This window comes from Homo sapiens, chromosome 20 (genome assembly GCF_000001405.40).
Source record: "Homo sapiens chromosome 20, GRCh38.p14 Primary Assembly".
NCBI classification, from domain to species: domain Eukaryota; kingdom Metazoa; phylum Chordata; class Mammalia; order Primates; family Hominidae; genus Homo; species Homo sapiens.
In genome coordinates this window covers 4,967,455-4,980,826 of record NC_000020.11, presented here as the reverse complement: position 1 = coordinate 4,980,826, position 13,372 = coordinate 4,967,455, and the positions used below count along the sequence as shown (strand labels likewise).

Here is a 13,372-nt window from a genome sequence, read left to right as displayed (position 1 = left end):
GGCGCGGTGGCTCACACCGGTAATCACCCAGCCCTTTGGGAGGCCGAGGTGGGTGGATCACCTGAGGTTGGGAGTTTGAGACCAGCCTGGCCAACATGGTGAAACCCCATCTCTACTAAAAACAAAAAATTAGCCGGGTGTGGTGGCAGCCACCTGTAATCCCAGCTATTAGGGAAGCTGACACAGGAGGATCACTTGAACTGGGAGGCGGAGGTTGCAGTGAGCCGAGATTGTGCCACTGCAGTCTAGCCTGGGCCACAGAATGAGACCCCGTCTCAAAAAAAAAAAAGAAAAGAAAAAGAAAGTAAAATGTGCATATATACAATATATATAACTATTTTTTTCAAAGTAGAGATTATACAGAGGGTATTTAAGCCTGTTTTTTACTTAGCAATGTATCTTAGATATGTGACTAAATAGTCCTTTATTTGTAGCTCATTTGTGCTGAATACATCATGTTTTATTTGACAAATCCTTCTATTAGGTATTTAGCTTATGAGCCATTTTCTGCTGTGGTGGACATAATACAGTGGTGAACAGCATTGTACCTAAATCTGAGTGCATTTTCCTGATTATTTCTTTAGACTAAATTGTTGGAAGGCATATCATTTGCATTTCTAAGACTTTAACACATACCTAACATACATGCCAGAGACCTCCTGCATTCAGGTTAACACACTGGGAAGTATTGCCATAATAAAACATTTTTTCTTTTTTATGCCAATTTGAGTGAAGAATGGAATCACTATGTTTATTTTGCTTTTCTTTGATACCTAGTGAGTTTGAGTACTTTTTAATGATTCTTTTGGCCATTTATATTTTGTTTGGCTTATTGTGGTTTTTTTTGCCAGTTTTTCCAGTCTTGTATCTGTCTCTCTTTCCTGGTGATTTATAACAGTATTTTTATATCAAGGACGTGAACACTTTAATAAATGTTATACATATTTTCCCCATTTGCCTGGTAATTTTATGATGTATTGGAGAACTAAGTGTTATTTGCAGATTGTTTTTCTTGGTTTAATTTTCAAATTAGAAGTCTCATTTTTCAAACTCTAAAGTTTCATAGGAAACATTTTTCTTAAAGATGAATAAAAATCTGTCAGAACATGATTTTGTTTAAAGTATTTTATAGATTTCTTATTTGCTTGTCTGCTAAAATAATGCTTGGAACAATCAGCTGCCACCTTTGAATTAAAAAGAAAAGTAAAATTTGGAATAGAAGATTTTCCAATATTATTGTCTCTATATTTTAATATTTTTTTCATATATTTAGACATTTTTTTTTGTAGAGACAGGGTCTTTCTATGTTGTCCAGGCTGGTCTTGAACTCTTGGCCTCAAGTCATCCTCCTGCCTGGGCTTCCCAAAGTGTTGGGATTATAGGTATGAGCCACCATGCTGGCCCCATTGTCCCAGTAAATGTGAACCTTAAGTTTGGGCGCTTTTGGTGTTTAGACCCTTTGGGTACACATAATGTCTGTTGGGTTGATGGTGCTCTTTTGTGTTAATTTCTTTTTTCTTTTTCTTTTTTTTTGAGATGGGGGTCTCACCCTGTTGCCCAGGCTGGAGTGCAGTGGTGTGATCTCGGTTCACTGTAACCTCCGCCTCCCGGGTTCAAGCGATTCTCCTGCCTCAGCCTTCTGAGTAGCCGGGATTACAGGCACACGCCACCACGCTTGGCTAATTTTTGTATTTTTAGTAGAGATGGGGTTTTGCCATGTTGGCCAGGCTGGTCTCGAACTCCTGACCTTGTGATCTGCCCGCCTCAGCCTCCCAAAGTACTGGGATTACAGACGTGAGCCTTACAGACGTGAGCCACCGTGCCTGGTCCTTTGCATTAATTTCTTAGTTTTGCTCTAGTAGTATTAAATTGGAGACTTTTGCATCATACTTAGATAATAGCCTTAAATAACTCTTTCTGATTTTACCCTATAGGGTTCTTGTTTAAAAATCGGCATCCGTTTGTATTCCAGCTCTCTGGAAACACTTGTCCTAGCTAGGTTTTAGGGGTTTGCTAGTCTTGTTGGCTCCTTGAGGTTGTGGAGGGGAGCTTAATGTGTGTAGCTTCACAGCATCTGGCTCAGCACAGCTCAGAATAGGTACTACATGTGCCCTGTGTGCATATCCTGGCATTATCCCTTTAACTGTCTCTAGGAGAAATGAGACCAGTATGGGTTCTGGTTCTGGGGCTGCCTCCAACTGGGGATAAGACTCTGTTTCCCCTCTGTGTCTTCCATTGCCAATGGGGGGCCAGGTTGCAGGATTTCTAAGCCCCTTTTGTTCATTCTTTCCACCCCCTTCATTAAGCACTGTCTTTCAGCAGGGTGCTGGGGAGAAGCAGCCTGCCCAGGCTTAGCCATTTCTAGGTCGTCCTCGTTTTGAGTTCACAATTCTGACCTCTAGTTACTTTAATCTGGTTATTATCTAATCGTGATCACTCCTAGACATTTTGGAGAGGTTTAGAAAGTTTTGGGGTTAACAGACATAAAATAGGATTTTCAGCTTAGTTGAAGGTCAACAGTGCTTGTTCACACGCAAAGGCACAGTTTATGAAGGGAAAAATAGAACCATTTGTGTTAACTGAGCTTGACTTATTAGCACCGATAGTTGCCATGGGAGTGTTTTTTTAACTTTGTCATTTTGCCAGGAATGTAAATCGGGGCATTACTCCTTAGATCTTCATGTAATTAGGAGGATGGACAAAGCCCCTATTTTTCTTGAATCAGGAGTTTATTATCCCGTTTATAATACGGGAGTAAATTAGGAAAGGTGTCTTTAATTTTTTTGTTTGTTTTTGTAGAGACCCTTGTTATGTTGCCCAGGCTGGTCTTGAACTTCTTGGCTCAAGTGAGATTATACAGTGTGAGCCACTACCAGTATCTTTCGTTTTTTCATGATAAGTACAACTTAGGCATTGAGCAAAACTGTTTTTAGTGACTTGTCTTGCATATATATTTATGAATTTTGAGCTTTTAAAAAATCACAAATAGGCCAGGTGTGGTAGCTCATACCTGTAATCCTAGCACTTAGGGAAGCTGAGGCAGGAGGATCACTTGAGCTCAGGAGTTCGAGACCAGCCTGAGCAGCATAATGAGATCTCGTCTCTTTTCTTTTCTTTTTTTTTTTTTTGGGGACAGAGTCTCGCTCTGTCACCCAGGCTGGAGTGCAGTGGTGCAGTCTCAGCTCACTGCAGCCTCTGCCTCCCCATTTCAGGTGATTCTCCTGCCTCAGCCTCCCCAGTAGCTGGGACTACAGGTGCATGCCACCATGCCCAGCTAATTTTTGTAGTTTTTTAGTAGAGTCGGGGATGGGAGGGTTTCACCATGTTGGCCAGGCTGGTCTCGAACTCCTGACCTCGTGATCTGCCCACCTCAGCCTCCCAAAGTGCTGGGAGTACAGGCATGAGCCACGGTGCCCAGCTTGAGAGCTTGTCTTTATTAAAAAAAAATAATAATAATACGTGTTCATTAATAATGGTTAAAGTAGAAAAACAAAAAGAAATAGGACACCACCTACATCTGAAACCCTGGGAAGATCCAGTTAATATTGTAGTAAGTGTCCTAGAATGCCTATCTTGCTGAAGAAGTCATGTTCATAAAGAGAGAGATGTTCTGCCTTTTTTCACCCCACTTTGTAATAGATCATAACTATTTCCCTGTGTCATGATAGTATACTGCAGAGTGGCCCTGTAGTATTTTATCATACAGTGTTTTGCTATCGTAATTTATTCATTCAGTCTTTACATAGTGGATTCTACTTGTCCTACAACTGAAATATGTACAATTACATTCATCTAATTACTTTTCTAGAACAGTGATTTCATTGGATATGCATTTTTGTTATTTTTTTTTTGAGATGGAGCTTCTCTCAGCCACCCAGGCTGAAGTGCAGTGGTGTGATCTTGGCTCACTGCAACCTCCGCCCCCCTGATTCAAGTGATTCTCCTGCCTCAGCCTCCTGAGTAGCTGGGACTACAGGCGGGCGTGTACCACCACACCTGGCTAATTTTTGTATTTTTAGTAGAGACAGGGTTTCACCATGTTGGCCAGGATAGTCTCGATCTCTTGACCTCATGATCTGCTGCCTCAGCCTCCCAAAGTGCTGGGATTACAGGCATGAGTCACCGTGCCCGGCAGACTCTCTTTTTTTTTTGAGATGAAGTCTTGCTCTTGTCCCCCAGGCTGGAGTGCAATGCCATGATCTCGGCGCACTGCAGCCTCTGCCTCCGGGTTCAAGCAATTCTCTTGCCTCAGCCTCCCGAGTAGCTGGGATTACAGGTGCATGCCACCACGCCCAGCTAATTTTTGTATTTTTAGTAGTGATGGGGTTTCACCGTGTTGGCCAGGCTGGTCTCGAACTCCCGACCTCAGGTGATCCGCCCATGTTGGCCTTCCAAAGTGCTGGGATTACAGGCGTTAGCCACCGTGCCCGGCCGGGGAGGGACTTTCTAGCACAAAAGTAATAGAAGAAATTGCAAAAAGATACTAGTATGACTTAAGAGAGACTTAAAAAATGTCCTCTATTTCAAGTGGTATAAACAAAATGGAAAAAGCAGTCATTTGCTTTTTCTGGGGAAAATGCTTTCAGTAGACAAAGGGTTAATATCCTTAACCTATAAGAAACTCTTGCAAAAAGAAAAAGCAAAGTAAAAGTAGGAAAAAAAAAAGAAACTCTTGGCCGGGCGTGGTGGCTCATGCCTGTAATTCCAGCACTTTGGGAGGGCGAGGCAGGTGGATCACAAGGTCAGGAGATCAAGACCATCCTGGCTAATACGGTGAAACCCCGTCTCTACTAAAAATATAAAAAATTAGCCGGGCCTGGTGACAGGTGCCCGTAATCCCAGCTACTCGGGAGGCTGAGGCAGGAGAAAGGCGTGAACCCGGGAGGAAGAGCTTGCAGTGAGCCGAGATCGCGCCACTGCACTCCAGCCTGGGCGACAGAGCGAGACTCTGTCTCAAAAAAAAAAAAAGAAAGAAAGAAACTCTTGCAAATGAATCAGAAAAACCCAAACACGTACTGAAAAAAATGGGTAAAAGGCACTTACAGTTCATAAAAGAACTGTAGACACATGGATCAAAGAAATCAAGATCAAAACCAGATGTCATTCTTTACATGTCATATTTGCAAAAATTAAAAAAAAAAAAACAGGCGGGGCACGGTGGCTCACGCCCGTAATCCCAGCACTTTGGGAGGCCAAGACAGGTGGATCACTTGAGGTCAGGAGTTTGAGACCAGCCTGGCCAGCATGGTGAAACCCTGTCTTTACTAAAAATACAAACATTAGCCAGGCGTGGTGGTGCGTGCACGTAATCCCAGCTACTTGGGAGGCTGAGGCAGGAGAATGGCTTGAACCCGGGATGTGGAGTTTGCAGTGAGCCAAGATGGCACCACTGCATTCCAGCCTGGGCAACAGAGTGAAACTCTGTCTCAAAAAATAAATAAGTAATAAAAAACAATCTAGGAATGGCAAGTGAGGTTAACGTCATATTCTTTCTTTTTCTTTTTTTCTTACTCACCGCTGCACCAATGAAGAAATACATAGTTTTCTTCCGTTGTGCTTTGTCAGTTTGTCTGCATTCCCAGAAGGAATTGGGAAGCTTTTTCATTTCCCATTTCTTACGAGGAAGGCTGGGAAATAACTAAGAATTTGTCTGGGCCTAGCACCTTTTGGAAAAGAGTAATTTGCTTTTGTAATTTTCTCCATTTATTGTTACTTGTTCAGGTTTTCAAAAAATAGTTTTTGGCCAGGCACGGTGGCTCACACCTGTAATCCAGCATTTTGGGAGACCAAGGCGGGTGGATCACTTGAGGTCAGGAGTTCAAGACCAGCCTGGTCAACATGATGAAACCCCATCTCTACTAAAAATACAAAAATTAGCCAGGTGTGGTGGTGGGCCCTGCAATCCCAGCTACTCGGGAGGCTGAGGCAGGAGAATCGCTTGAGCCCTGGAGGCGGAGGTTGCAGTGAGCTGAGATCACGCTACTGCACTCCAGCCTAGGTGACAGAGCGAGACTCCGTCTCAAAAACAAAAACAAAAACACTGAAAAAATAGCTTTCCCCCCAAAATTGCCCATTTCATCAAGATTTTCAAGTGCATACATGTGCCTCTTTTGTAAGACCTTGAAAAAAATACAAACATTGGGAATGATAGTATAAGGATAAAGGATATAAGGGTAGTATAAGGTTAAAAATAAACTTAAAAAACAAAATGCCAAAGCATGAAGAATATGTAGTGTTTGAGTTTGCCCTTGTTTTCAGAAGATATTTGTCATATTCAGGAAGTATCTTTTAATTTGCATTGAAGATATTTGGTTTTTGCTTTTTATTTATTTTTATTATTATTATTTTTTTTATTTTTTGAGACGGAGTTTCGCTCTTCTTGCCCAGGCTGGAGTGCAATGCGCGATCTCGGCTCACCGCAACCTCCGCCTCCTGGGTTCAAGCGATTCTCCTGCCTCAGCCTTCCCGAGTAGCTGGAATTACAGGCATGCGCCACCATGCCTGGCTAATTTTGTATTTTTAGTAGAGATGGAGTTTCTCCATGTTGGTCAGGCTGACCAACTCCTGACCTCAGGTGATCCACCCACCTCAGCCTCCCAAAGTGCTGGGATTACAGGCATAAACCACCGCGCCTGGCTGGTTTTTGCTTTTTAAATCAGGAGGAAGTGTTTTGTCAGCCTTTTTGGCATCTACTGAATTGATAGAATGATTTGGCTGTTCAAAGGTTCTGGCCTGTTATGATACTGGCCCTGGCATTCTCTCCTTCCTGCTTTTGAAGAGTTAACATCCCTTTTTAAGGAAATGATGTTGAGTCAGTGGTAGATGTTAAATAACATAGTAAGATACACAGATGGCAATTCTGTAGTATTTCTTCCCCAGTTTTTTGTTGAATGTTTTCTGTATGAAGTCAGTGTCTGGAAACCACAGCATGTAGTATGTACTTTTGCACATCCTAATTAAGAAGCAACAGAAGCACTGTGAACAGATTCTTGAGAGTTCAGCGGGCCTTGATGGGGGAAAGTCATGTGGCCATGAGTGTGTCCCAAGTGATGTTTCCTCTGACCTGCCGCAGCGCCCAGGCTTTGATCTCAGCCCCGTAGCCTTGCGTGCAAAGGACAGTTTTCATGTTTCCAGAGTGCGGTGGAACCCACGAATGGGAGGGGCATTCAGCGGAGCGCTCTGCCAGAAGTTCAAGGTTGCTTACTGATAGCTCAGTCTTGTTTTTGTTTGTATCGTGATTCCTTCTTAACTCCTTCCTCAGAGATTCCTTTCTCAAAAATGTATTTGCATGTTCCCAGTATTAAAACCTCTGACCCAGTTCTGTGGTTTGGTCTCAGTACTTGTTCTGTGCAGTAGTTAAGTCCTTCCAGCCATCTTGCCACTCAGCTTAGAAAAATACTCTCCAAAAACATGTCTTTAAGGAGTCATAGTACTTTCGCTTCCCCATTCAGAATTTTCCAATGATTTGTAGCTAAAAATGACATTCTGTTAATTTGCACTTTGCCCTCATGGAGCCGTTTTTAATTAATAGTTTTTTAAAGGATTTGCAAAAGAAGCATACACATGTTGAAAAATAATTCTAGCTTGTCAGACTTGTGTTTAGTAAATTGAGAAGGTCACACGATCTTTTCTTATGTCCCCCCACCACTTCAAAGCAGTTTGATCTGTATCCTTGCCAGCCCTGTTCTGTGTACACAAATGCATACTATGTAATTATCCTTTTAATAAAAGTGAAATCATAACCACACATATTGTACAACCTGTATTTTTCAAGGAACTGTATTTGTTATTATAACTTAACTGAAAGTAAGCCATTCTTTTAAAGTGTCTCTCTTGTTTTCTTTTCTCATGTTCTTTTCATTATTCCTCTTGACTAGACATTGATGGATGTCACCTTTGTGCCTCCCTTCTGACATTGCAAATTTCTGATAAACATAGCTTAAGGCTTGGCATAGTGGCTTGTGCCTGTAATCCCAGCACTTTGGGAGCCGAGGCGGGTGGATCACCTAAGGTCGAGTTCAAGACCAGCCTGGCCAGCATGGTGAAACCGTGTCTCTACTAAAAATACAAAAAATTAGCCAGGCATGGTGGCGGGCACCTGTAATCCCAGCTGCTCGGGAGGCTGAGGCAAGAGAATCGCTTGAACCCGGGAGTGGAGGTTGTAGTGAGCCAAGATTGCGCCACGGCACTCCAGCCTGGCTGATAGAGCGAGACTCTGTCTCATTTAAAACAACAACAACAACAAAAAAACCCCAAAAAACCCCCCAAAAACCCCCACATAGCTTAAGATAGATTTATGTGTAGAGATTTTATTTTGAGAAATAAATTACTACTTTTTTTTTCCTTGCATGCAAAATGTTTTAGAAAGGGAAAGACATCAATTTCTTCATTCACGTTCTAATAATTTAAAGTGAGTATTTTTTCCCAAATAGCACAAGACCAGTGTTTAGTTTCCAAAATTAAAAAAAAAAAAAAGACTCATTAATGGTTCCTTGAAGGCTGGACTGGTACCAGTCTGATGGCATTTGTGTGCTATTTAACTTGGGGCCGTTGGCGATTGTTGATGCTAACTTGCCCAAGAACAAATGGTAAAAGTTGATGTCTCAACATAAGGATTTTCCAGTGAAAATCTGGCTAAACTGTTGGTTGCCTTGCACGTTTTTCTTCACAAGGGAGGGCCAGGCTCATGGCTGGGGCTGGGATGGCTGTTCCCAAGACAGCCACTGAGTCAGGCTCTGGGTTCCCTTTATTGTGGAACATATGCATAGGTACAAGAGTGGATAAAACATAGCCGTTTAATAAATAGTAAAAGAAACATCTGTGTACCTGCTCATATCCCAGTTTGAGAAACAGAATGTGACCGGCTTTTTGAGAAGCACCCTCCCCGTGTGCTAGTACATTTTTAAGAGGCTTTAACAGAAAGTGACTTATTTATTTATTTTTTTTAAATCAAAGACCCTGTGCTAGGGAATATGGAGTTTAAAAGTTATCAATGGAGAAATCCCAACTGAGTGCAAATCACTTTTTTTGCTTTTGTTTTGAGATGGCGTGTTGCTCTGTTGCCCAAGTAGGACTGCAGTGGCACAGTCATGGCTCACTGCAGCCTTGACCTCCTGGGCTCAAGGAATCCTCCTGCCTCAGCCTCCTGAGTAGCTGTGACTACAGGTGTGTGCCACCACGACGAGATAATTTTTTTTTTTTTTTTTTTGTAGAGACAAGGTTTCACTATGTTGCCCAGGCTGGTCTTGAACTCCTGGCCTCAAGTGATCCTCCCATCCCAGCCTCCCTACAGGTGTGAACCACCGTGCCTGGCCCAAAATTGCTTTTTATTTATTTATTTATTTTTGAGACAGAGTCTCACTCTGTCATCCAAGCTGGAGTGCGGTTGCACAGCTCACTGCAACCTCAACCTCCTGGGCTCAGGTGATTCTCCACCTCTCAGTCTCCTGAGTAGCTGGGATCACAGGTGTGCACCACCACACTTGGCTAATTTGTGTGTGTGTGTGTGTGTGTGTGTGTGTGTGTGTTTTGTAGAGACCACCCTATTGCTCAGGCTGGTCTCGAACTCCTGGGCTTAAGTGACCTGCCTGCCTTGACCTACCAAAGTGCTGGGGTTACAGGTGTGAGCCACTGTGCCTGGCTGAAAAGTTTTTTTATAGGTGTTCTAAAATACTATCTTTCAAAATACTTTGTAGAAATGGAGAGTGGATTTTTAAAGAATTGAGGGTGCAGTTTGTGACCCTGCCTAGAGACAGGCTGGGGCCTTGGAGGCAGTCCATAAAAATGAAGTAGTAATAGAGCAAATTCTAGGATTGGGCATGGCTGGGTGAAAAATAGACTCCATTCATGCAGAGTACCTCCTGCTAGGTTTGTTATTACTTTTAATTTACCATTTGCTTTTCTCCAGCTAGGTCTTGACTCCACTAACGGGGACTTCTCATACGGCTTTGAACTTGGACCTTGGTGCATAAGCAAATGTAACTCAGCGAATTGTAATGGAAAGCATATGGACAGGTCTACGCCACATCACTTAGGTGCGTGTAAAACACAATCTCCAGTTGTGTTTCCTTTTCCTTTTCTTACTTTTTCTGAAACAGGTTCTTGCTCTATCACCCAGGGTGGAGTGCAGTGGCACGATCACAGCTCGTGGCAGCCTTGGCCTACTGGGCTTATGTGATCCTTCTACCTCAGCTTCCCAAGTAGCTGGGACTACAGACGTGAGCCATGGTGCCTGGCTAATTTTTAAATTTTTTTTTCTTAGAGATGGGGTCTCACTATATTATCTAGGCTGGTTTCCAACTCCTGGGCTCAAGCGATCCTCCTGCCTCTACCTCCCAAAGTGCTGGGATTATAGGCTTCAGCCACCATGCCTGGCTAGTTATGCTTCATGGTAGAATTGGGCTGGCAGCTCTGTAGCATTAGAACCCTTTTGTACTTGACCTTACCTTTGTACGTTTTTTACGTGTTGAGAACGGTCTAAATGCACAACCTTTGGAATAATGAATTGTTAGGTTAATGCTAATGATAAGGTAATAGACTTCTTTAGGCCAAATTCCACGCAAGTAGATTAAACTAGAAAATAAACAGGCACAGTCTTGCCACTTATATTAATTACAAAGTAGGAGGTAAATATTTTCAGTTTTCTTTCATGCTTTTGACTTTATTATCAGCAAAAATTTGTTGAGTACCTCCTGCTCTTGGCCCTCCGTGAGGTTTATACGTGAGGAACCTGGAGTGGAAAGAGATTTAAGAATTGTTTCCTCACCCCTTTTCAAGCATTCTCTGCAGTTTAATTAATGAGACTAACCACATGTACATTACTCAGGAGCATTCTTTTTTTCCTCCTTCTGTTGTTTCCCTTATCCCCAAAGCTTGATGAACATTTTGATTATTTTTAATTTTTTGCTATTATAAGCAATACTGCAATCAAATTTCTTCTTGGGGAAAACATCTTAGCAGTAGTAGTGATGGGCACAGTGCATGACCTTTTAAAATTTGATACATGTATAGGTAAATTATCCTTCAGAAAAGCCGCAAGTGTTTCACATCTGCCGATACATTCTCTCAGATACTCTGCTTCTGGATGTGGTGGTGCACGCCTATAGTCCCAGCTACTCTGGAGACTGAAACAGGAGGATCACTTGAGCCCAGGAGTTCAAGGATTTAGTGAGCTCTGATTGTGCCAGCGCACTCTAGCCTGGGTGGCAGAGTGAGACCCTGCCTCAAGAAAAAAAAAAAAAAAAAAAGGATGCTGTCAGATACATTGACTTGTTAAAACTAAATTTATTCAGTATGGTGGATGTAAAATGTTATGTCAGTGTTGTTTTAAAAAAATTTTATGTGCAGTAAAATTTACTTTCTGTGTACACTTATAAGAGCTTTTACAAATACTTAGAGGGGATCACTCCTTTTAAAAAAATTTTAAGACTTCTAATAAAGGCTGGGTGTAGTGGCTCATGCCTGGAATCCCAGCACTTTGGGAAGCTGAGGCGGGCGGATCACCTGAGGTCCGGAGTTCAAGACCAGCCTGTACAACATGGAGAAACCCTGTCTCTATTAAAAGTACAAAAAATTAGCCAGGCATGGTGGCGCATACCTGTAATCCCAGCTATTCGGGAGGCTGAGGTAGGAGAATCGCTTGAACCTGGGAGGCAGGAGGTTGCAGTGAGCCGAGATTGTGCCATTGTACTCCAGCCTGGGTAACAAGAGGGAAACTCTGTCTCAAAACAAAACAATGACAACAACAAAAAAAACCAAAAAACACTTCTAATAAAGAAGTCTCTACTTACTACTAAAAACAAAACAAGGCCGGGCACAGTGGCTCACACCTGTAATCCCAGCACTTTGGGAGGCCAAGGTGGGTGGATCATGAGGTCAGGAGTTCGAGACCAGCCTGGCCAACATGGCTGGTGAAACCCCGTCTCTACTAAAAATACAAAAATTAGCCAGGCATGGTGGCGCACACCTGTATTGCTAGCTACTCTGGAGGCTGAGGCAGGAGAATTGCATGACCTCAGGAGGCTGAGGTTGCAGTGAGCCGAGATCATGCCATCGTGCTCCAGCCTGGGTGACAGAGACAGACGTCGTCTCAAAAAAAAAAAAGAAAAATACACATCCTGACCTTTTTAATGATTTACCTTGTCAAGCCTGTTTTCTTAGTTCTGAAGGAAGAGGACACCTGGCTCTTTTCTTAGAGGTCACCTTTAATACCAGGTCTTTCTTTGAAATCACTCCCTTAGTTCATCCATTTTTCTCATTGGCATTTTCACCATTGCAGTTGCCAAGGTCATTTTCCTTGGATTAACACAGTAGCTTCTTGATCCCCATTTTGAGATTATCCTGTGGTGGACGACTGCTCTCCTCGCCTGCCCAGAAACTCATGTTGCATGAAGCCGTTCTGTGTTGAGTTTGCTTTTCAAGGCTACTTTGACTCCACAAAGGGTTTTCTTCCTTTGCCTCCCTGTCCTCTGACCTCCAGGTGCTGGGGTTAGGCTGTTGTGTTCAGCGCCCAAAAGACGCATCATATGCCACCTACCTCTGGACCTCCGTAGTGGCATCTCTCTTGGGATTCCCGCCATCTTTCAAGGCTAACCCTAATCTCACTTCCTAAAAGTCATTCCTGACAACTTCCAGCCTGGAGTTCCAGTGTCCTTGAGCTCTCCTGCCCAGCTCTATGGTTGTATGTGTTTTCTCTGATTTGCTAGGTGTCCGGACTGTACAATCAGATGGGAAAGAGCCTCAGCATAATGTATCTCCATCTCCTTGCTCCAGCCCACCAAGGGCAGTCAGGGATCTAGTTGGATGGTTGGTGTCATTCCATTTGCCTTGAGATGATCAGTACAGATCCTAAAATATCACGGTCTTACTAAACTGAGAAAAGAGGAGGCTTGCTCGTACCTTTCGTTTTTGTCATTAATAACATACAGGTGATTGTTGAGTGCCTGGCTTTCATAGCTGAGAACACCCATTCTGCTTGGTGCCTGAAGCCTGCAGACTGGGTGCATGGTTCTGGTTGAAGGGTATTTTAGCATTTGCTAGAACCACCACAGATGCTGCGGAACTCAGTTATAAACTGGATCAAACACTTGGAGCAGTGAAGAGAATTTTCTATTTTATTGGTGCCTGATTTCCAAGAGGCCTATGTATCGGGAAATCCTGGTGTTTTTGGTTTATAGACTTTGTGCTGTTGACGTCAATGTCTCATTTTCTCATTACCAAACATGTCGTATAAAAATGTTGTGTTGCTTATGGTTTGATCAGTAGCAAAGAGAATTAAATATTTACTGGAGAAATTGGGTGGTTTCACAAACCTATGTAAACACTGATGGTGATTACAGAGCTTACATAAGAAGGTAAGGAAGGAAGATGGAAC

General features: G+C 42.8%; 1 protein-coding gene across 2 annotated transcripts in view, besides 3 other annotated features; it reads left to right on the top strand.

Annotated features, from left to right (window-relative positions):
- SLC23A2 (solute carrier family 23 member 2) overlaps nt 1–13,372 on the top strand; it is a 157,956-nt gene that overhangs the window by 29,487 nt on the left and 115,097 nt on the right. For both annotated transcript variants that reach the window (NM_203327.2, NM_005116.6), the window contains exon 2: nt 9,908–10,034. The gene's annotated coding sequence lies outside the window, so the exon portion shown is untranslated. The remainder of the gene's footprint in view (nt 1–9,907; nt 10,035–13,372) is intronic.
- Nucleotides 6,506–7,705: an enhancer, noted in NCBI's record as "BRD4-independent group 4 enhancer chr20:4953768-4954967 (GRCh37/hg19 assembly coordinates)". NCBI's record gives its function as "activates an origin of replication core promoter dependent on BRD2, P300/CBP, MED14 and CDK7 cofactors, and independent of BRD4, by STARR-seq in HCT116 cells {active_cell/tissue: HCT116}" and the evidence as "EXISTENCE:reporter gene assay evidence [ECO:0000049][PMID:35650434]".
- Nucleotides 6,941–7,250: an enhancer, noted in NCBI's record as "active region_17503". NCBI's record gives its function as "activates an Ori minimal core promoter by ATAC-STARR-seq in GM12878 lymphoblastoid cells {active_cell/tissue: GM12878}" and the evidence as "EXISTENCE:reporter gene assay evidence [ECO:0000049][PMID:35858748]".
- Nucleotides 7,318–7,518: a silencer, noted in NCBI's record as "peak4131 fragment used in MPRA reporter construct". NCBI's record gives its function as "represses an SCP1 promoter by STARR-seq MPRAs in K562 erythroleukemia cells {active_cell/tissue: K562}" and the evidence as "EXISTENCE:reporter gene assay evidence [ECO:0000049][PMID:32103011]".